This window comes from Homo sapiens, chromosome 8, assembly GCF_000001405.40.
Source record: "Homo sapiens chromosome 8, GRCh38.p14 Primary Assembly".
NCBI classification, from domain to species: Eukaryota; Metazoa; Chordata; class Mammalia; order Primates; family Hominidae; genus Homo; species Homo sapiens.
In genome coordinates this window covers 126,896,252-126,921,421 of record NC_000008.11, presented here as the reverse complement: position 1 = coordinate 126,921,421, position 25,170 = coordinate 126,896,252, and the positions used below count along the sequence as shown (strand labels likewise).

Below are 25,170 nucleotides of genomic sequence, written 5' to 3'. Positions count from 1 at the left end.
GACAGAGCAAGAAAGACTCTGTCTCAAAAAAAAATTCTAGAAAAATTTTATATATGTAACAACTAAATAACAAACTTCTAAATAAATATGGGCCAGTGAAAAAAAATCAAAAGAAAAATAAAAAAGACTTTTGAGCTTAAAGAAAACATTGTTAGCACCCTATCAAATCTGTGAGATGAAGCTAAAGCAGCACTTAGACGGGTATTCATAGCACAAGAGGCCTATATTAGAAAAGAAAAGCAAGTTTCAAATCATAACTTCAGCTTCCACAAAAGAAACTAGAAAAGAAAGAGCAAAAACACATGCAAACAACAACAAAAATAATGAAACAGAAGAAGTGAAACAATCATACCTTAAGTCAATAAAATATGAAAGAAAATAAAGAAAATTAATAAAATGAAAACCTGCTTCTTTGAGAAGGTCTATAAAATTAATTTACCACTAGGTAGGCTAATCAGAAAAGAAAGAATGAGGGCAAATTACATGTATCAGAAATGGGAGAAGTGACATCAGTATAGATTCTCTATATATTAAAGGAAAAATAAAATATTATATACAACTTCATACACTGATAAATTTGATAAACTAGAGAACATACACAAATTCCTCAAAACATTCAAAATACCAAAGCTCACTTGAAAAGAAAGAAACTGAATAGCCCTATATCTAGTTTTTAAAATAATTTTTTGTTAAAAACTTTCCCACAAAGTAAATGCTACTCTCAGATGATTTTACTGGAGAATCCTATCAACATTAAAAAAATACACAAACTCTTTAAAACAATTGAAGAGGAATGAACAGTTCTCAACTTATGCTGAGGCCATCATCACTCTGATATCCAAAGAACACAAAAGTATTACGAGAATAAAAAACTGTAGGTCATCAGTGCTGTCTGCCTGGTTGGTTAAAAATAACAGCAACAACAATACAAACTACAGGTCAGTATCACTTAGGAGGATGATTCAGAAAAAAAAAATATTATTTCTAATAAAAACTCTCTATAACTAGAAAGAGAAGGAAAGTTTCTCAATTTGATGAGCATCTACCACAACTCATAGATAACATCATATTTAAATGATGACAGAATGCTTTTCCCTTCAAATCAGAAACAAAGCAGTGATGCCCTCCTTTCACTGCTCCTATTCAACATTGTACTAAAGATTCCAGCAGGTAATGTAAGACAGGAAAAGGAGCCAGAAAAACAAGCTGAAAAGGAAAAAGTGAATGTTTTTAATCCCAGAAGATGAAATTATTTATATGGAAAATTATGTAGAATTTACTCCCTCCCTCCACCAAGAGGTTAATTTAGCAAGGTCGCAGCATACAAGATCAATATACAAAATAAATTGTATTTACATATACTAGCAAACCTGAAATTGACACTACAATAAATACCATTTGAAATAGCATCAAAACTGTGAAATAGTTACATATCTGACAAAAGATGTCTAAGACCTCCTGCACATTAAAAACTAGACAACATTGCTGAATAAATTAAAGAACTAAACAAATGACAACATATACCATATTATGGATTGGAAGATGCTCCATTGTGCAGATATTAATTTTCTGAAAATTAATCTATATAGTCAATCTAATTTTAGAAAAATTCCAGAAAGTTCCAGAATTGTAGAAATTGGCAAGCTGGTTATTACATTTATATAAAATTCAAATGACTTAGAATAGCAAAAACAACTCTTAAAACGAACAAAATTGGAAGATTTATATTACCCAACTTCAAGAGTTAACTATTAAAGCTGCAGTAAACGTTACTGTGTGGTACTGATTTCAAAATAAGTAGTCAGGTGCAACAGAATAGAGTTCAGAAATAGATATACACAAATACCAACAACCATTGATAAAAAAGCAAAAGCAGTTTAGAGGAAAAAGAATAGTCTTTCACCACATGGTGATGGAATAATTGGATAGGCATATGCATAAAAGCGAACTTCAATCCATACTTCATACCATATACAAAAAAATAAATCAAAATGGACCATAAGCCTAAATGTAAAACTTAAAATTATTTTAAAAATTAAAAGAAATAGGAAAAAAATCACATTGGATTAGATGATGATTTCTTAGATATAACATGAAAAGCAAAATTTTAAAAAATGTTAATTTTGTTTTCAAAATTAAAAATTTCTGCTCTTGAAAAGACCCTGATAAGAATGTGAAAAGACAAGCCACAACTGGTAGAAAATACGTTCATATGTTATATCTAAGACGTATATCCAGCATATATAAAAACTTCTAAAAACTCAATGGGGAAACAAAAATCCTAAGGAAAAATGGTGTAAAAATTTGAATAGGCACTTTACCAAAAAAGATATACATATGGCAAATAAGCACATGCTTATATGTTCAACACAATTAGTAGTTAGGAAAAGGCAAATTAAAAGCATGGTAAGATGCCACTACAACTTTACTAGAATACCTAAAGTTAAAAAGACTCACTGTACCAAGAGGTGGTGATGATGAGGAGCAACTAGAATTCTAATACACCCCTGGTGGAAATATAAAATAGTACATCCACATTGGAAAACAATTTGGCACTTTTACAACCAGGCCAAAAAATAAAGTATATGATTCAATTTATATAAAATTTAAGAAAATGCAAACTCATCTTTATTGACAGAAAGCATATTACTGGTTACAGGTTTTGGGGATAGAAAGAGAAGTAGGAAGGAGGAAATTCAAAGGTATAGGAGAAAACTTTTGACAGTGATGGATATGTTCATTATCTCCATTTTTGTGATGATTTTACAGGTGCATAAATAAGTTAACACTTGTCAAATTGTAAAATTTAATCAAGTATAGTTAAATGTATATATGACATAACACTATTAAGAGGGAAAGTCAAGATCTTAACCAGGTCATGCCTTTTGGCCCTACTTTTTTGCCTCATTTAGATTAGACCTTGAAGTCAAGTCTGAGTGGAGATTTAGCATGCCAGAGAGAGAATGAAGTATTGGAAAAATAGCTAGAGTGGGAATCAACAGAACCAGGGTAGGCTGACTCAAAGACATGAAGCAGAGTGTGGAAGGAAGACTGAGAGCTGTGAAGAGATTCACTTGTCATTGAATTTCACAAGGCTTCCCTCCTGAGAGAGGCCCTCCCTAAATACCCAACCCAAAATGATACCACCACTCATAATCTATGTGCTCTATGAAAGACCCTATTTTATGCTTTCACAGGACTTATCCAAATATGAAATTGTCCTGCTTATTTCTAGGTTTATGAATTTATCTTCTCTCTCAAGCTGCTGACATGTCTAGCTTACTTGTCTTGTGCACTGTTTCCCAGCATGTAGGGTGGTGCCAGCCACCTGGATGCACCTGCTGAATAAATGTGTGTTGACTGGATGGGTAAATGAGTTCATCCTTTTCTATTTTAGGTTTTAAGTTTGGTTTGGGGCTTGACAATCTCCCCAAATTTGCCAAAAACATTTTCCCTTAATTTCGAGTCTCATGTCTGTTAAGAAGGAAATTAAATCCAGATGTTTCTGAATCATCCATCCTGAACTCACTAGAGTTCGGTGTTCTAAGAGCTGAGTTATAGAGCTTTTCTCTTAGTAAAACAGTGTCCAGAGAGGGAAATAAGCAACCTCAGAGAAACAAAAGGATTAAAAAAGCGTGAACATTTCCAAATTGTATCTCCAGTTGATATTTTGACAACAGTTGGTGAGGGATGTGGCGGTACCCAGTATCTCCTACCAAGACAGAGCAACCTCTTGTGGAGCACCCTGCTAAAACATCTCACTTTCTCTGATGGGCAGTGAGATCTTGTGCCTCAGTCTTTTATCCTCAGACAATGCCAGAGCAGGTTGCCCCCTCTCATCCTCATTATTAACTTTAGTTAATATATTTCTTGTGAAGCAGAAGTCTGATGGGAATGTGAAGACATGTTGTCATCCAGTAACAGATCTTTCAAAGGCAACATCTGGAAGCAGAGCTAGTCTGTTTGGGAATCACCAACCTAGCTTTTTGCTTTGTTTATTTTTGTTTTTATCATGTGTGTGTTTCAGTACAGATTTGTGAATGAATATGAGCTTCCAAACAAGACAGATTTGTTTTTCAATTCCACTTCTACTATTTAGCAGTAGTGCTTTCTTGGGGCATTAACTACATGCTCTGAGGCTCTGTTATTTGTAAAAATTGAATTAAAATGTTATAGCGAGTTGTTATAATGATGAAATGAGGTTTTATGTAAAGGGCCTACCAAAATACCCAGTATATATTAGAAATATTAGAAAAGATGGAAAAGAAAAGAAAAATAATGGGGGGAAAGAGGAAGGGAATGAGGAATAGAGGGAGTAAGGGAAGGAAAGAGAAAGGGAAGGTAAGAGGGAGGGAAAGAGGAAGGGAAGATGGAAGGGAGAGAAAAGGGAAGCTAGGGAGGAAGGAAGAAAGGAAGGAAGGAAGGAAAAGAGGAAAAAAGGAGGAAGGAAGGAAGCAAGAGAGGAAGGAGTCAACCAGTCACAAATTTTCTAAGAATTTATCAACTTTTGCAAGCTGGTATGGGGCAGTACCTTTATACCACTGAAGAAAGGCTACAAAAGGCCACAGTTGTTGAGAAAATAAACATTGATTAGTCAACCTATGACTATAGCAGATTCAAAATATAGCTTAAACTCATAGTAAGTCCACAAATACTAATTTCACTTTTTTTAAAAAAGGGTGCTGTATATAAAGCTGGACTATGTGACAGGCTCAGAAAATTTTATTGTTCTCTTTGAATCTGGTATTTGGGGGTCCCAGTATTTATAAGAAAAAGCTGAAGAGAAATGAATAGTAGTTTCTGAGGAAAAGAATTAGGGCTGGACTCAGGAGCACTTTGAGTGCTGGACTCCAATGAGTATCTGCCAGACCTTTTTTTTTTTTTTTTTTTTTTTAAACAACAAACTATTGGACTGATAAGGTGAATTTCACTCTTAGGGATATGCTGAGTTATCAAACAGGATAAAATGCAATACAGTCTCAAGAAGTGTTAAAAGGTAAATTGAGGCACAATAAAATTTTAAAATTGAGTTTATTTGAGCAAACAAAATTAATGAATTGGGCAGCTCCAAATCAGAAGTTACTTGTGGGGTCCATCATGGGAATCCAAGGGAAAGGCTTTTATAGGATGAATATGGAAGTAAAGTAAAGAAAATATTTGATAGATTACTATTATACAGTTACCTTATTTGGTCTTTACTGCTATCAGGTTCCCAGTTATGTAAGTGAGTTGGTGGCTTCTGACTGGTTAGCCTTCAGTTTCAGTTTCATTTTCCTTTAATATAATTGATAAGAGAATGCCCAACTGGGCCTGGGCACGGTGGCTTACGCCTGTAATCCCAGAACTTTGGGAGGCTGAGGCAGGTGGATCACCTGAGGTCAGGAGTTTGAGACCAGCCTGGCCAACATGGTGCAACCCCATCTCTACTAAAAATATAAAATTTGTCGGGCATGGTGGTGCATGCCTGTAGTCACAGCTACTCGGGAGGCTGAGGCAGGAGAATCACCTGAACCCAGGAGGAGGAGGTTGCAGTGAGCCGAGATTGCACCACTGCACTCCAGCCTGGGTGACAAGAGTGAAATTCTGTCTCAAAAAAACAAACAAAACAAAACAAAACAAAAAGCAATGCCCTATTTAAGTTTCACTTATGTTTACAAACCAAAGGTAAGATCACTTGTGAGGTCTAATTGGCTTTGCCTGCTCTGAAGGATTCTTCAGGTCTGGTCTCCATTTTATCTTACTTTAATAGAAAGGATTATACTTTGATCATCATTTATTAATATCTCAGTGTTTGATTTTCTTATTCACAATCAATTTTTTGGCAATAATCTCAGGGAATGAAGCATAGGGCAGGTAAGTTTTAAGATGGGGTTGAGAGTCAAAATTGTCATAGATCCTGGGTTATTAGAAGGAAGTCTTAGTCTGAGTAAAGTGTGGCTCTGGTGGGTCCTAAGCCACCAAGAAGCAGTCAGAGGACCTGGGTCCAGGGCATAAAGGCAGGTGGCGGGAGTGGTGGTTTGAGAACAGGTTTTATATGATAATACTTGAATTTTTAAGTTTTGCTTTTTTTGTTTTTACTTTACCTTTTTTAGTTAAAAAGGAAGAAACTCATATCTTTAATGTTTGTGTGATGTTGGGCAAATCACGCATCTATTCTGATTCAGTTAACTCACCTATAAAAAGGGAGCATGATATTAGCGAATTTTTGTGAGTTTTCAATGTGGTAACATAAGCACCTGGGACAAGGTGAGATATTAGCTCAATCACCATCTATCTGATTGTTTTCTTAGCTTCCTTTCTCCTTCATATCTTTTCTCTGCAGGGAGCAAATGAAAAGACATGAAGGTGTTTCATAATGGAGATATGGGATGGGTAAGTGCCAGGTGTGTGTGTGTATGCGTGCATGCACATGCACGTGTTTTAGTGAGTCGAAATCTGAACATCTGATTTCAACTCTGCGGGCAGAGGAATGCTTTTATTACAAGCATATGGTTTTATTTACTTTCCTAGGAGGTACTTGCTAGAAAACTCTTGACCCCTCTTTTAGAGCCCATTTCAGATGCTGCATCTTTAATGAGGCTGTGTCTAAGTCTCCCAGCAGAAACTGGCCTTCCACTCCACTGTATTTCTCAGATTCTTTACCTTGTGCTCTAAGCAGACGTCTTACATTGCCTTATGACGTAATAATCTTATTGGGCTTGGGTTTGTGAGTCTGACCTTTTGCTTGTAAGAAGCACAGGCCACTCTTGGATTACCTAAGATCATACAACGTTGTTGTAAGAAAAGGTATGGCCTTAAGAAAAGCAGGGAGCTCAACCATGTCTCATGGGAACCCAGAGCATCTCCACAGTCAGGCCTCCAGGAAGGATAGAGATGTTCACACCTCTAGGCTTCAGAGGGATGGAAACACTTTCGGGAACCAGAAGGTTACTTGTGATCCCAGCAAGCTTATTGTACAGATCCCAAGGCCATTGTTCGCATAGACAGTGTGCACACCTGGTCAGTCAAACAGCCTTGCCCGTGCCTGTGCCTCTCCTGTGGGGCCTCTGAGCCTGGACTCTTCACCCTAGCTCAACCACTCCTCTGTCTTTTTCTTCACTGCTGTTTGCTTATTTCAAAGGGAGAAAATCTGCTGGTCACAGTGGTCACCACCGTATCCACTGGCCAGTCTTTCTATGCCACCTGCAGTCTGCTGGCTGATTGTCCTTGAGTTACATATCCACTCCAAGCAAACATACACTCCAATCACCCATGGCCGAGATGTTGGGTTCACACTTGGCACTAGTGAGATTTCTTATGGGAGTGGATTGTGTCTGTTTGGGAATCCCAACGAAGGCAGCTGGAGCATGGCAAGCATCTGAAGCAAGGACTCCCCAGTGGACTCTCTTAACTCCATTACTGCTCTCTAAATTTATTTAACAAGATAAGCAAACTGTTCCTTGTTCATCTCTGAATTGCCTGCAGCAACTAATAGGTACTGAACACTTTTAAAATCAGATTGAGGTTGGGCTTGGTGGCTCATGCTTGTAATCCCAGCACTTTGGGAGGCCAAGGCAGGTGCATCACGAGGTCAGGAGATCAAGACCACCCTGGCCAACATGGTGAAACCCTGTCTCTACTAAAAATACAAAAATTAGCTGGGCATGGCAGCACGTGCCTGTAGTCCCAGCTACTTGGGAGGCTGAGGCAGGAGAATTGCTTGAACCTGGGTGGCAGAGGCTGCAGTGAGCCAAGATCACGCCACTGCACTCCAGCCTGGGCGACAAAGCGAGACTCCATCTCAAAAAAAAAAAAAAAAAAAAAAAAAATCCAATTGAACTGCATTTTTTCTGTGCTTATTTCTTGTAACTCTGACTCTGGTTTGAAAAGGATATATTCGTGGATGTGATGTGGGATTGGGGAGTACAGAGAGAATGAAGCACACTAGAAAGGTAGTATAATATTTTGCAGAAAATAAAATGGCAAGCAAGCAGTCTGGGTCCAGTTTAAAAACTAATTTTAATAAGATGCCTTTGGGACTTCTATCTAGAGAAAACTTAAAGTAGAAATATCACATATTCCTTTGTTTGTTTCTTACACACCTGTGGAATATACTGAAGGTCATGACCCAATTTGTATACCTAGAATGGTTTTCAGTTTTACATTTATTTTACAAATAGAGTATAGAGGTATTTGATATTCACCCTCTCACCCTACTTCCTGAAGAGTTATCTTGAATGTGGTCTGAAGAAGATGATGAAATGGGAAAGATTCCTGATAAAGAAAGATTGGTATATTCTAAAGCACTGTTGGCTTGAGCTCTCAGCCATTGTTCGTCATACCCCTTGTGTTAGTCATGCTGCTAATAAAGACATACCCAAGACTGGGTAATTTATAAAGGAAAGAGGTTTAATAGACTCACAGTTCCACGTGGCTGGGGAGGCCTCACAATCATAGCAAAAGGCAAAGGAGAAGCAAAGGTACGTCTTACATGGTGGCACATAAGAGAGCGTGAGTAGGGGAATTCTTTTTTATAAAACCATCAGATCTTGTGAGACTTATTCACTATCATGAGAACAGCAGGAGAAAGACCCACCCCCATGATTCAATTACCTCCCACCAGGTCCCTCACAGGACATGTGGAAATTATGGGGAGCTACAATTCAAGATGAGATTTGGATGGGGACACAGCCAAATCATATCATCCCTCTAGTGTGATGAATGGAAAAAAGCACAAGCGCCAATAACCATATTTGTATCTACATTTGTTGTATCAAGGCTTATCATACTGCATCATAACATTGGTTCACACATCTTCAATCACACTTACCTGTTTTGTTCATCTTAATACCCCCATCAAAATACTGGCTATGTAACAAGATTCAATAAATCTTTACTAAATCAATCAATCTTCAAATACACAAATGCACTCATGAATGAATGAAAGTGCTAGGTCACCACTGATACTATTGTACTTCCCATCAGCTTTTTAGTTTCATGGACTTTGATCTTATTTGCTTCTCTACCCGTAACTATTCATATTGAGGTGGCCACATCTAACCAATACAAATATAGGACACCGAATGACATTGGAATTTTAGATACTCAATGAAAAAAATTTAGTGTAAATTTGTCCCACATTAAAGTGTTATTTATCCTCAATTGAAATCTGAGTCTTTTATTGTAACTGGCAACCCTAATAGACACCAATAGTACCAATCATTTAAGTCTGTTTTCATGCCATAGCTCTCCCTATACCCACCTCTCTCTTACTTTCCCCATTCCACTGCACCCCCAGCAGTCACCATGCTGATCACAGTGGGCTGGGCTCAGCTAGAATGTCAGCCAAAATGAATCTTGCTCTAATGAAAGGAGATTCAGGTCTTCCACACAGCCTAATAGTGGACAGGGTCTCTAAACGGCTTCCTAAAGAAAACAAGAGCTGCCAGGGAGCATGGGGGCATCCTGATCAAGAACACTTGCCTCTTTTGTCTAAAATAAAGAAAAGAGCTATTCAGAAACCAAATTGATTAAAATTGAGGGAAATTGCTGGACCATTGATAATTGCAGCGAAAGGGCAGTGGTCACTCTGACTGATTGCCACTTCAGAGGGAGCTGCACATCATCAACCAATCATGGGCATTAGTGAGCAGCAACCTCTTAGTGACCCACAGCTCCCCCCTTGGGAAGCGTTTCACACAAGCCTTTAAAGCCAGACCAAGGCATTTTCCGCACCATATTTACCTTTAATTCCCAAACCTAGAGGGACTGAAAATCATTCAGTCTCTAAATGTCTTTCATATGCTTAAGAGATGAATGGAAATGACCTCTACCTCAACAGCTTTCTCCGTTCACCAGCCTTTGAAATACAATAGGCGGGTGAGACCCTGTGGCCCCCGTACGTCCCTGGGCTTCTGGCTACGTACCTTCCTGCACCCCAATCAGGCCGATCAGAAATGCTGCTTCTGTCCAACACTGTGAAAACCTAAGCACTTGTCTAGTTTGTATTTTTTTCTTACATCCTCTCACAATGGCATTTTGACAAAGATAAATCATCTTCTCTGTTTTAAAAGAAATCTGTGTTTGTCAATTGAAAGGAAGAACTTTGCCCTGGGACCTGAGAAACTGGGAGTAGTCCCAGCTCTGCCACAAGACCATTGTTGTGTGTTTTCAGGCAAGGTGTAGAGCATTTCCAGAGCTCAACTTTCTCACTGAGAAAACAGCAATATTAGACTCAGTCCACAGGTCACTAACTGTGCTAATCATTGAAAAACTTGGGAACTCAGAAAAAAATATATGTATTGCATGCTAGTATGTGTGTAATTTTTTCCTTTCTTAAATTTTTTTTTAAATATACAGATGAGACTTGCTATGTTGCCCAGGCTGATCGTGGACTCCTGGCCTCAAGTGATCCTTCCACTTCTACCTTCCAAAGTGCTGGTTTTACAGGCATGAGCCACCATGCCTGGCTGAGTTTCTAAATAATAAACTTAAAATAATGTATTTTAAAATATTGCTTCTTTTTGGTGTCTCCCCTGGAAAGTCATACTTGAAATCAGTAATCTGTATTGTAAATAAGCTCTCAGAATGATTCTAAAGATTAGACAGGTCTGGAAATAACTACAGGAAAAGGTCACCAGTCTTCTGCCTCTTTTCCTACTTAGCATTTCAGAATAGAAACACTGAGTATTTTTGTTGTTGTTGTTCTACCTATTCCTAGAAGCCTGGAGGCTGTATATATAAGAGAGTAAGTGAAACAAGGCCTCCAAGGATGTTTAAAAGGTCAAAGGGATCTATGCAAGGAAGGGAAGAGGAGGTGCCTTCTGTCCCCCAACCAGGAAACCCCACACACTTGATAAAAGTGCACTTCCTCAGACCAGAAGGCTGGAGTGAGTTTAGCCCTGGCTTTGGCAAAGGAGGCTTTGTTTGCTAAAAGAAGGGTAGACTTGTGATTAAAATCAGGCCTGGAAGAACAGTTCTAAATGTGGATTCCTTGTGATTACAGATCCCCAGCCATTTAGGAATCGAAATCTCTGTTCCCTATAAATACCTCCCCTGTGAAAACAGGGCTAGTTTGCTCTCAGGAAACTGGATTCTGGCTCCAGAGGAACTACCAAACTATTTATGTGACATTGAGTGCTTCGCTGCCTTGTTCAATACTTCTGATTCCTCATCTGTAAATTAGGAGGTTGGTTGACATGTGTAAGGTCCTTTCAAGGTGTAAAAAATGCAAAATGATTATTTTAAAACTTCTGTAGCCATTATTTAGATAATATAATTAAAAATATGTAAATATCATTTAATAGTTTCTAGTGAGAAAAAAAGACACAAGCCTAATACACAAATAAGAAAAAGACTGCACAAATTGTGGCATATCCATGCAAGGAATATTATTCAGCTATCTAAAAAGGTGAGTTTTATTTCTATCTGTTACCCTCAAGGGATGTCCATAATGTGTTCTAAAAGTGAGATATTTAATAAAGAAATTAAGTAAATCATAGACAATTATGTATGAATTTGATGTTTCTAATAAAAAACACCAAAAACATATGTCCATATGTTTTGCAAGAACATTGAAAACAGATGCAGAGATACCCATCAAGCTGTTAATATTGGTTTCCTGGGGGAAAAGGATAGTGTGGGGGAACATTATTAGCTATTCTTTTCATAGCTTCAAACTGCTTCACTGGTTATAGTGAGGGCTGGTTTCTTTTGTATTTTTTAAAAAATAAATCAGGCTGGGCACAGTGGCTCACGCCTGTAATCCCAACACTTTGGGAGTCCAAGGCGGACGGATCACGATGTCAGGCATTCGAGACCAGCCTGACCAACATGGTGGAACCCCATCTATACTAAAAATACAAAAATTAGCCAAGCATTGGGGAGCACACCTGTAATCCCACCTACTCAGGAGGCTGAGGCAAGAGAATTGCTTGAACTCAGGAGGTGGAGGTTGTAGTGAGCTGAGATCACGCCACTGCATTCCAGCCTGGGTGACAGAGCAAAAATTTGTCTAGAAAAAAAAGGAAGGAAGGAAGGAAGGAAGGAAGGAAGGAAGGAAGGAAGGAAGGAAGGAAGGAAATATTCTTAGCTCTTCTTCTGAGGAAGACATATGGAGTGTGAGATGGAAGCTACAAATCCTATCTACAAAAGCTATTCGAAAACATTCCCACAAAGCTAGGTTTCTCTTTGGGGGCGTATTCTCTGTCTCCCCTGCCACTGCCCCAGGTCTTCCCATCTCTTGACAGGATTACTGCATCAGCCCTTGTTTGCTTTCAGCCTATTCATGCATTCTCCACATTGCTGCCAATGAAATATTTCTCCTGCTCCCATCTGGTCATCCCACTTCTTTTTTGAACATTTTCAATGGCCTCCCAGTGCTCATAGGATATTCTCTACACTCTTCAGCAAGACAGACTAGGCTCCTCACAATTAAATACCAAATTTCTTGTTCAATTTTGTCTACATACATTTCCTATTTATTTTCTATGTTTCAGACACATTGAATTGTTTACTATTTGCTATTTTTAAAAAAATCCCTTGATTTTTCACAGTTTCATGTTATTCAAATGCTTTTTTTCTCAACCTGAATTCAGTTTTCCCTAAGCATTTCTGGTGAATGCCTACAGATTTTTCCAACTTAAGACCCAATTTAAATATCATCAGCTGCATAAAGGTTACCTTTAATACCAGCCTCAAGAGGAAGGAAGTCATCCATTCTCCCACAACATCCATAGTAAATATTCTAAAACATGACAAATCTATTATAATGATTCATACATTTATCTTCATCCTTCTAAAATGAGAGCTCCATTGAGAATAATATATGCTCAATGACTTTTGCATAAATTTCATTTACTTGTAAACTTTATGAAATAATTTTTTAAACGCAATAGCAAAAACATCAGATCGTGAACTGCAAGGGATACATCTGGTAGTTTAAATTTTGTTTTCAAGTGACCCTAAGTACTTGATTAAAAATTGACAACATCAAAGGAATACCAATCTGTGCTTATTATTGCTATGCAAATAATTGCCTGTGCTGGTTATTGCTGCCAAACACTCTTGGAGACCCTCTCCTCAACCTACTCCACCAAAACACAGTGTAGGCTAGATGAAACATTGTTTTTGGCACCAAAAGATTAAGGCTTAAGTCCTAATTCTGTGTCTTGTTGTTTGAAGTCTGGCAAGCTCTCAAGTTCTCTTAAAATTCATTTGCTTATCTATTAAATAGGGACAATGAAAAGATGACTTCTTCACAGTGCCCTTGTGAAGCTGAAATAGTAAGATTACTAAAGTTATACATGAGGCTGGGTGCAGTGGCTCATGCCTGTAATTCCAATACTTTTGGAGGCTGAGGCAGGCAGATCACTTGAGGTCAGGAGTTCGAGACTAGACTGGCCAACATGGCAAAATCCCGTCTCTACTAAAAATACAAAAATGAGCCCGGTGTGGTGGCAGGCACCTGTAATCCCAGCTATTTGGGAGGTTGAGGCAGGAGAATCACTTGAACCTGGGAGGCAGAGGTTGCAGTGAGCTGAGATCATGCCACTGCACTTTAGCCTGGGCAACAGAGCGAGACTCCGTCTCAAAAAACTAATAAAAATAAATAAACAAATAAATAAGTTCTACATGAATGTAAGTTGTTATACTTTTAACAGCCAGTCTTTCTTTCACAATATTTGTATGCTCATTCGTCTGATCACACCCCTGCTAGGCAAAATCAGAGACACCATCACGGTTGTCATGAGTAAAAGCAGAATGTGCATCTAGCTCATTTAAATTCACCTGTTAGATCAAAATGAAGATTTCCCAAATTAATTATAATGGAATAGTTATTCTTTATATAAATTTTTTTTTGCAAAAAGTCTCATGACCTGTTTCATTTTAATAGTATTATCTTCTGAATGTATACAATATCCTAGTTCACAAAAATAATCACATACCGATACAAGTACACACACACACTTTTTTAGCCAGTTGGAGCAAGGCTGCTCCTTTCCATTGCTCCTGTAAACATCATTCCCTTCCACTCTGGGCTGGCAAAGTGGAAGTGAAAGTTGCTGAGCTCTGGAGATGGGTTCATCTTGATTTCAATCTGGACAATCAGTCAAATGGATATAATGATATCTGGTTTGCAAGATTATTATAAAAATAGTAATAAAATGTGTAAAGTAAAATATCTATAATATATACAATAAACTATAAAAGTGCCTGGTACATGTGTTCAACAAACACTAGCTTCTATTATTGTTTCACCATCATACTCTTCAAATAACTCACTCCTCTAAATCAAAAAGCTAGTTAGTTTTTATGCAAACAAGAAATCAGAGACCTCTGATATACACTAATTAGTTAATACATAAAAGATGAGGACTCAGTACTTTCAGGTATAGAAAAGCTTTCCAAAATGTATCCTTTTTAATGATGTTTCTCAAATGTACTTTGAAATTCTAATGTCCTATCATGACTAAAACTTAATTGGACTATAACTCTGGTCCTAAGACAAAGCAAAAGAATTGTTATATTTCTAATATTAATGGGTGGAATAAGAGTTAACAATATAATGTATATAAAGTGTATACCTTTATAAAGGTATATAAAGTCCTTTACAGGTATATAAAGTCCACCAGGAAAAGAGTTTCAAAGACTCATATTATCAATAGGTCTTTTCTTAATAAGCTTTTTTCTTAAATTTTATTTTGTTGTCAATGAGTCTTAATGTTTAAAAGTCATCAACTTTTAAAAGTAATCAGAGAGACAGTGAAGTGAGTGGAGTACAGTCTCCAATATCTGCCTGGGTTCAAGTCCCAGGCTTACCATTCTCCACCTATGTGAGTAGAAATCAATCCAATAAAAAAGGAACTCAAGAGAGGGTACAACACTGTCAGCTGGAAAGCCCACATCAATAGGAGCTATAATCATTAAGAATTTACCATCTGCCAGACACCATGGTTACACTACACGTCTTATTTATGCTAAATAGCCCAATGAGGCAGACACTATAATCAGTCCTGTTTTTAAGACAAGAAAACTGAGATCCAGGGTTATAAAGATCCTTAATGTCACACAACCCCAAATGACAAACCCATGCACAAAGCCCATGCAGACTGCTGCAATCATTTTCTCACTGGTAATTAAAAATAACTTTAGGATATGATTTGTTGGAAGATTTGCCTTTCAAATGTTGGTTGTTCAAACACATAAAAACAAAAAATTGGGAGTTGATGCATTATCAATGTTAACAGAATATCAGTAATGTGACACCTGTAGGCAATACAACTGGCTCTCTTTCTGAAGCATATATTAGAAATATATTCCAGCTTAATTGTGTGACAGGGCCAAAGAGCCTTCCCGTGTCATGAGTTTGTCAAAAGAAGAACAGACTTAGAGTTTAGCAGGAGTAACTTCCTCACTTCACATCCAAGAAAACCAAGGTTCAATATAATTAAGACCCTACCAGTATGGATACACACCTACTTCCATGGCAGAGCTGAAACTTGAATTCAGAACCCCTGATTTGCAGGCCGGAAAGTATTCCACTGCACGAAATTGTAGCAAGAAATTACAATGATCTCTTCAGTTTACCAGTTATATATTTTGCCAAGCAAAATTCCGCACAACTCATATTTATTTGAAGTCTATATTTAATTTTTATTTATTTTGAGATGGAGTTTTGCTTTTGTTGCCCAGGCTGGAATGCAATGGCACGATCTCAGCTCACTGTAGCCTCCACCTCCCAGGTCCAAGCCATTCTCCTGCCTCTGCCTCCCGAGTAGCTGAGATTACATGACAGGCACCTGTCACCACACCCGTCTACTTTTTTGTAGTTCAGTAGAGACAGAGTTTCACCATGTTGGCCATGCTGGTCTCAAACTCTTGGCCTCAGGTGATCCACCCGCCTTGGCCTCCTAAAGTGCTAGGATTGCAGGCATGAGCCACTGCACCTGGCCTGAAGTCTATTCTTTTAAATAAAGACAAGCTAATTATCTTCTCATTCATATGCCTCACCTCTCCGACTTAAGTAGGAGGGACCAAAAACAGAGAATAATTCTCTGGCCTGTTTGGGTTGTGTTTTCCTACAGTATTTCAGGCCAGTTACATACAGGTCTATCTGAGCAGGGAACACAATATTTCCGAATACTCACAACACCACAATTTCCTATCCAAATATCAACCTTCTTTGTTAGACTTTAGACTCATGATAAAGCTAGATCATGACTACTGCATTCAGCATCCCCAAGTACTCAGGCACAGTATTTTGGCTAATAGAAGATGGTCAATAGATTTTTGATGAATGAGTGAAGTAAAGTGAAGCTCATGTAAGAATGATATTGGCTGAATGAGATGGTTCATCCTTGTAACCCCAGCACTTTGGTAGGCCAAGGCAGGTGGATCACTTGAGCCTGGAAGCTAGAGACCAACCTGGGGAACATAGTGATACCTCATCCATTCAAAAATTTTTTTAATAAAAAATAATTAACTGGGCTTGGGGATGTATACCTGTGATCCTAGCTACTTGAGAGGTTGAGGTAGGACGATCACTTGAACCCAGGAGGTCAAGGCTGCAGAGAGTTGTGATTGTTCCACTGCTCTCCAGCCTGAGTAACAGAGCAAGATGCTGCCTTGGAACAAAAAAAAAGAATGATATTGTGCTGGCCAAGCTAAAAATATGAATAAGTTGTCTCCCCTTCAACTGTTTCTTTACTACTTTATTCACACTAACCTCATGGTACTTGCCTCAGTCCATGTGTACCCAAATTTTGCATCTAGTAGCATAGAAATTCTTTTATGCCAGACACTTTGCCTTTTTTTTTCCTTTTCATTTCCCCTCCCTAAACATACCCATCACCTAATCCCAGCCTAATCCCTGTCACATTCCAGAAGTTCGCTGTATGTTTATTGAATGAAACTGAGCCTATAATCAAGAGGTTAAACAGAATAATCTCTTCAGGACACTTTCAATCCTAATATTCTATGATTCTGGAATGCTACAAAGATGTCTGCCAAAATGTCCTCATTTGCTTCTGTATCTTGTTTAGTAAGCCATCTCTGAATTCATATAGCCTTTGGTGTGGATATGCCCAAGGATTTGTATATTCATCTATACCATTCTTTGGGATAATAAACTTGGAAATAAATGCTTCCTACACTAATGTGCTCTAAGATGAAATGTATTATATCCAGAGGCCAGCAAAGGCATTTTAAACAATGACACAATATGGTTTATTTTATAGTTATGTTGTTTATTTTACTTTTTTCTTAAGACTGTATTATAAGACTGGTAAACACTGTAATTCTTAAAGCTAACTAAATATGTCTCAAGTTTTGCTATGTAGAGGCCAAACTATATTCTTAAATCAGAGGACTAAATAAAGGATCGGTACATTCTTCAGGGAATGTCTAATGTGAACCATACTTGCTATAGATCATGCCAGGGTGATACTGGGAGGACAGAGCTCATGATCTAAGTTTTTTTTTCTTCTGTATGGGAAAGTCAGAAAGCACTGGGCCGCTATAGAGAATTGCTAGAAGCCAGGATGCCCAGAAAACTAAATTACTGCCAAAGTAAAACATTCTGTGTTATTTATAAGTGGGTGTTGTCAGGTCAGCTAAATCAATTATTCACCATTTGTTCAATTTCGCTTTGTATAAATCTTCATTTTCTCATATAGCACACTCTTGATTTATTGTGAAGCCATACATAGTCAGTAATGAGGATTGAATGCCAAACATTAAACTGAGGATGGTTGCAAAATGCACAAGTTCTGCCCCTCAGCTGGCTTTATTTTTCTACATCCCTCCCTTTTCTAATAGCCATCACTTGGTCTGTTTTTCATATGTAAATCATAAAGAGAAACACTGTTGCACTAGCAACAAGCAAGAGTTGTGTAATATCTTTGCTTTATGATTTTCCAACCTAGAATTCTAGTTGATGCCTATCACTTAGGATACTGGTGATGGTTAAACAAAAGCACAAATAATTCCAATAATGCTAGTTAACAACGACCATTTCTATATTGTTTATTATGTGACAGCAGCTGTGCAAAGCACTTTACATACATCATTTAATCCTGACAACAGCCTTTGAAGATGTTAATGATACCACTTTACAGTTGAAGAAGCTAAGATTTGGGGATGGTAAGAAGCTCGCCCAAGGTCATAAGGTTTGTATTGTAGAAACAGGACTCTTGCATCCATATTATAGACGCTTGATAAATGGTAATTTTGATTCTATCTCTCCTTTCCTTTAATTTACTTTCTTGAGCAGGGGACATTGGGCCATTTTATCTCTCTTGCTACAATTGCTGAGAGCTCTGATTTCAGCAACATCTGTATCCTCGAACTTTTTGGGTGACCCTTTATTAACAAGATGATTCATTTATAAGAATATTTCTGAACTCTGACCTTGGAATCAATATCTTCTTATCAATCAACTGTGGCAAAATCTCTGCAGGGAGCTCTGAGGAAGGAAATAAGAAAGAAGAAGAAGCACCTGTGTAATTAAAAAGGACAAGCCCCTTATGAGGCAAAAAGAAGGAATAAAAGAGATGTGGAAATTGATGGAGAATTCAATCCCAAAGATCCAATCTTAGACCAAATAAATTGTTTTGTAGCTCTGAACCTTTAACTGAATCACTTTAATCTCTGAAACTTGCTGAAGAGCTCTGCACAGGGCTGGCCCAGGAGACTTGGTTCTTTGCAGGGAACAAGTTTGGTGATTTTGGCCAGGGATGGGCACCTCTCACGGTGGTATTGGGACAACGGTGGTGGACAGTCCAGTGGATGTACCTCCTGCCTCTCATATCTGCTGTATACAAAAGCTTCTCTACTTATCAACTTCTGGCTTCTAAAAGGTGACTATCATGTGGAATTTTTAAAAATATAGGCTGCAAGGACAAATTTTCCTAGAATCAAATGCTGGCTTCTCCACATACAGGCTGGCGTTGGCCAAATCACACAGCTTCTCTAAGCCTCAGTTTTCTCATCTCTAAAACATTGACAAACTTAAATAGTTGTAAACAAAGCAGTGAATCAGAGTAAAACCCCATCAGCTTTGACCACAACCAACAGATGGCAGGAATCATCATTGATGTATTATTGCATCTTTAGACTTTTGATGAACAACTGTTTTATAAACTGAATTTAGAAAGCCAGTTCATAAAGAAACTTCCATATTGGGGTCTCTAAGAACTTCAAGAAATGCATGTTACAGCTGGATATCAATAGCTAGATATCTATCTTACTGGCTTCCTAACTAAGTTCTACTAAGCACTAGAGTACCAAAAGGAGCTACAGAAGTCTTTAAAAGTTGGGCCAAGAAGAGAAGAAATGAGTGACAATGAGTCCATGAGGTTCTGACCCTCAATCTCTTCCCCTCTTTTTTTTTAAATTGAGACAGAGTCTCTCTCTTTCACACAGGTTGTAATTCAGTGGCACAATCATGGCTCATTGCAGCCTCGACCTCCCAGGCTTAAGTGATCCTCCCATCTCAGCCTCCAAGTGGCTGGGACTACAGGCATGCACCATCATGCCCAGCTATTGTTTTTGTTTTTTTATGTGTACTTTAAGTTCTGGGATACATGTGCAGAACATGCAGGCTTGCTACATAGGTATACACATGCCATGGTCGTTTGCTGCGCCCATCAACCCGTCACCTACATTAGGTATTTCTCCTAATGTTATCCCTCCCCTAGCCCCCCAACCCCCCACAGGCCCTGGCGTGTGATGTTCCCCTACCCATGTCCATGTGTTCTCATTGTTCACCTCCCACTTATGACTGAGGGCATGCAGTGTTTGGTTTCCTGTTCTTGTGTTAGTTTGCTAAGAATGATTGTTTCCAGCTTCATCCATGTCCCTGCAAAGGACATGAACTCATCCTTTTTTATGGCTGCGTAGTATTCCATGGTGTATATGTGCCACATTTTCTTTATCCAGTCTATCATTGATGGGCATTTGGGTTGGTTGCAAGTCATTGCTATTGTGAACAGTGCTGTAATAAACATACATGTGCCTGTGTCTTTACAGTAGAATAGTCTTTATAACCCTTTGAGTACATTCCCAGTAATGGGATTACACTCAGCTATTTTTTTAAATTTTTAGTAGAGATAGGGTCTCACCATGTGGCCCAGGCTAGTCTCAAACTACTGGGCTGAAGTAATCCACCTGCTTCAGCCTCCCAAAGTGCTGGGATCAGAGGCATAAGCCACTGCACCCAGCCTCCATCTTTTTTTAAAGGAAATAATTTTTACTATTGTATATAACATATTTTGCAATTCTGAGTAATATTTTATTTTCTTCTAGGAAACTACTGTATTAGTTTGTTTTCACACTGCTATAAAGATACTACCTGAGACTGGGTAATTTATAAAAATAAAATGTTTAATTGACTCACAGTTCTGTATGGCTGGGAAGGCCTCAGGAAACTTACAGTTACAGTGGAAAGTAAAGGTGAAGCAAGGACCTTCTTCACGTGGTGGCAGGAGAAAGAGAGAGATCAAAGGAAGGAGTGCCACACTTTAAAATCATCAGCACTCATGAGAACTTACTCACTATCATGAGAACAGCATGGGGGAAACCATCCCATGATCGAATCACCTCCCACCAGGACCCTCCCTTGACACGTAGGGATTACAATTTAAGATGAGATTTGTGCAGGGACACAAAGCCTAATCATATCATTCTGCCCCTAGCCCCTCCCAAATCTGTTGTCCCTTTTCATTTAAAAGCCAATCATGCCTTACCAACATCTTAACTGATTCCAGCATTAATTCAAAAGCTCAAGTCCTAAGTCTTATCTGAGACAAGGCATGTCCCTTCCACCTATGAGCCTATAAAATCAAAAACAGGTTTGTTACTGCCAAGATACAATGGGGGTACAGGCACTGGGTAAATGTTCCTGTTCCAAATGGGAGAAATTGGACATACAAAGGGACCAAGGTCCCATGCAAGTCCAAAACTTGGCAGGGACCTCATTAAATTTTAAAGCTCCAATATAATCTCCTTTGACTTCATGTTCCACTTCCATGGTATGCTGATGCAAGGGGTGGGCTCCCAAGGCCTTGGGCAGATCTGCCTCTATGGCTCTGCAGCATACAGCACCTACAGCTGCTTTTGTCAGCTGGCATTGAGTGCTTGTGGGTTTTCCAAGTACACAGCACAGGCTGTCTGTGGTTCTACCATGCTGGGGTCAGAAGGATGGTGACCCTCTTCTTATAGCTCCACTAGGCAGTGCCCCAGTGGGGACTTTGTGTGAGGGCTTAAATCCTACATTTCCCCTCTGCATTGCCCTAGTAGAGGTCCTCCATGAGGGCTCCACCCCTGCAACAAACTTCTGCCTAGAGATCCAGGTGTTTCCATGTATCCTCTGAAATCTAGGTGGAGGCTCCCAAAGTTCAACTTTTGTGTTCTGCAAACCGACAGGCCCATACCACATGAAAGCCACCAAGGTTTGGGGCTTGTACCCTCTGAAGCCATGGTCTGAGCTGTACTTTGGCCCCTTTTAGCTATGGCTGGATCTGAAGCTGTTGGGACTCAGTGTGCCATGTCCCAAGGCTGCATCAAGCAAAGGGCCCTGGGCCCAGCCCACAAAACCATTTTTCCCTCTTAGGCCTTCAGGCTTGTGATGGGAGGAGCTTCTTTGAAGATCTCTGAAATGCCCAGGAGATATTTTCCCTATTGTCTTGACTGTTAACATTCAGCTTCTCATTACTTATGCAAATTTCTGCAGCAGGCTTGAATTTCTCCCCAGAAAATGGGTTTTTCTCTTCTACTGCATAGTAATGCTGCAAATTTTCCAAACTTTTTATGTTCTGCTTCCCTTTTAAACATAAGTTCCAATTTCAGATAATCTGTTTGTGAACTCATAACTATATGCTTCAGAAAAAGCCAGGTCACGTTTTGAATGTTTTGCTGCTTAGAAATTTCTTCTGCCAGATATCCTAAATCATCTCTCTCAAGTTTAAAGTTCCACAGGTCTCTAAGGCAAAGGGAAAATGCTGCCAGTCTATCTGCTAAGGCATAGCAAGAGTGACCTTTCCTTTAGTTCCCGATAAGTACCTTATCTCCATCTGAGACCACATCAGCCTGTACTTCATTGTCCATATCACTATCAGCATTTTGATCAAAACCATTCAACCAGTCTCTAGGAAGTTCCAAATTTTCCCACATTTTCCTTTCTTCTTCTGAGCCCTCCAAACTGCTCCAATCTCTGCCCATTACCCAATTCCAAAGTTGCTTCCACATTTTTATGTATTTTTATAAAAGTGCCCTGCTCTGCTGGTACCAATTTTCTGTATTAGTCTGTTTTCACAGTGCTATAAAGATACTACCTGAGACTAGATAATTTATACAGAAAAAATGTTTAATTGACTCACAGTTCTGCATGACTGGGGAAGCCTCAGAAAACTTAACAATCATGGCAGAATGTGAAAGGGAAGCAAAGACCTGCTTCACATGGTGGCAGGAGAGAGAGAGAGAGATCAAGGGGGGGAGTGCCACACTTTAAAATCATCAGCTCTTGTGAGAACTCACTCACTATCATGAGAACAGCATGGGGGAAACTGCCCCGTGATCCAAGTACCTCCCACCAGGTCCCTCCCTTGACACATGGGAATTATAATTTGAGATGAGATTTCAGTGGGGATACAGAGACAAACCATATCACTACTATTTATTTAAACGTAGCATTAAGAGAAGAATTTATCCACTCTTAGAGAAGGTTAAATATCTTGGCCAAGATCGTATTAAATAAACTAGGAGTAGAACATATAATAGAGCCTGATGCTGGGCCTAATCCCCATTTCCAGGGCTCTCCTCATGACTCCAAAAAGTGCAGACATTCACATGGCGCAATACTCCAATCCAGGTCATAATTTAACATTGTATGATTCCAGCCCTTTAGCCTTGGTCTGTCAGGGTCTGTTAATGCCCCTTCAGAGGTTTACAGGGTCACAGATGGGTTACAAGTAAATAGCCTTGATACATAGCTCTCGGGCTTGGGTCAGATAATATTGAGCTGGTGATTTTAGGAGAAAAGGGAAGGAAGAATTACAAAAAGCTTGGCGTTGTTCCCTCAGCCTTCTTGGCTTCCTCAGTTGACTCACTTGGGGAACAAAACACAAGAAAAAAAGACAGAATGCTTGCACCCTAGTGTAACAATAAAGTGGTCCTTAGGGCAACCTGGGAAGTCAGTGACTAAGTCATGAGACATGAAACTGGGTGAAAGACTAGCACTTTTGTTATTTTTGTAACATTTCTCAAAGCCAGTCTTTTAATCTAGATTTTAAAATTTTACCTATGGCAAATTTAATAAAAGATTGATTAGAAAACAATATAGCAGTTCCTCAAAAAATTAAACACTGAATTACCATATGTCCCAGCAATTCCACTTCTGGGTTATATACCCAAAGGAATTAAAGACAGGGTCTTAAAGAGATATATACACAACCATGTTAATTGCAGCATTATTCACAATATGTCCAAAGGTGGAAGCAATGCAAGTGTTTATCAATAGATGAATGGATAAACAAAATGTGGTATATGTGTACAATAGAATATTATACAGCCTTAAAAAGGAAGGAAATTCTGACACATGCTACAACATGGATAAACCTTGAATTCATACTGCTAAGTGAAATAAGCCTGTCACAAGAGGTTAAATGCTATATGTTTCCACTTATATGAAGTACCTAGAGTAATCAAATTCATGGAGACAGAACGTAAAATGGTTGTTTCTAGAGACTGGGGAAAGGAGGGATGGTGAGTTATGGTTTAACAGGTACAGAGTTAAGGTTTTGCAAGATGAAGAATTTCTGGAAGTGGACAGTAGTGGCAGTTTCAGAACAATGTGAATGTACATAATACCACTGAACTATACACTTCAAAATAGTTAAAATGTTAAATGCTATGTTAGGTATATTTTGCCACAATAAAAAAAGAAGGTTGGCTCTAGGCAGTGTTTTGAGATGCATATCTGTATTTGGTATTCAACAAAGAAGAAAAATTCAAAAGTGCTACACCCATATGTGCTTTGACCTTTAATTTCACTCTGACATCTTCCAGTTAGGACTCTATTATTGAGAGCATAGTAAACAGGATGCCCATTGTGGCGGGAACTGGATTTCTGGGGAAGGATCCTGGATTTAATCTTTTTAGGAAAAATCACATAACTATGATTTATTATTAGCATCTTAATGATGTGAGCTATTTTAAAGAGATAGTGCTTTTCTCAGCAGCCACCTGGAGGGAAGAAGTGGCTCAGACCTCAGAAATTGTCACTTGTGAGTATTCCGGAGACATGGCCTCTTCCTGCCCCTCAGTACACAACAGCTTTCACAGCCCATTGTTTCAGGGATATCTTTTTTTTTTTTTTTTTAATGGAAAGGACAGAAGAGAAACAAGGGCCCCTTCCTACCAAGGTTTGTGAGAGGTTAAACATGAAGTCAATGTATGTGAAAGTGTTCAGTAAGTGCCTAGCACATGACAGGCACCCAAGGAATATTCTAGAACTTATGCTGACATTTTCTACTATGGTCCAAGTATTTTCTCATGCATTCATTTATTCATAAAAGTAATTGAGCATTTACATACCTGGCTTTCTTCAAGTCACAGATGATGAAGGAATGAATAAAATGAAGTCTCTGCTTTCATGGTGTTTACATTGTAGTCAAGGGACAGAGAATATACAAGTTACACACTGTCAGTGGAAGTAAGGGGTACAAAGAAAAATAAGCAAGATGAGAATGAAAGAGACCAATAGGGGAGGGTGTTGTTTGTTTGTTTCTTTGTTTAAACCAGGGAAACCTGAAGAGAGTGTTTGAATCACATGACATTTGAGCAAAAACCTTGAAAGGAAGCTCGGGAGCTTTGCATATGAATGGATGAATGCATTTGATCATGGGTGAAGGGTCCTCCGGACAGTGGGAAAGGCAAGTAAACTTCCCTGAGGTAAGGACATTCTGAGAAAGTTTCTGACATTGCATGGATGCCAATGTAGCTAAAACAGAGTAGGAAAGGGTGTGAGTGTTGGAAGACGAGGTCAGAGAAGTATGTGTATGTGTGTGCATATCTTGGGGAGTATGTGAAGATTACATAGAGCATGAATCAGAAAATTCTTTCTGCAAAGAGCCAAATAATAAATATTTTATATTCATGGGCCATATGGTCTCTGTTGCAACCACTCAACTGTAT

General features: G+C 38.7%; 1 long non-coding RNA gene across 1 annotated transcript in view, besides 1 other annotated feature; it reads right to left on the bottom strand.

The window, feature by feature from the left end:
- Positions 1–25,170, bottom strand: part of LOC105375751 (uncharacterized) — a 463,156-nt gene that overhangs the window by 99,610 nt on the left and 338,376 nt on the right. The gene's annotated exons all lie outside the window — the stretch shown is intronic.
- Positions 24,567–25,127: an enhancer, noted in NCBI's record as "OCT4-NANOG hESC enhancer chr8:127908540-127909100 (GRCh37/hg19 assembly coordinates)". NCBI's record gives its function as "activates a minimal SCP1, AML or CMV promoter by ChIP-STARR-seq in naive H9 embryonic stem cells {active_cell/tissue: H9 hESC(naive)}" and the evidence as "EXISTENCE:reporter gene assay evidence [ECO:0000049][PMID:30033119]".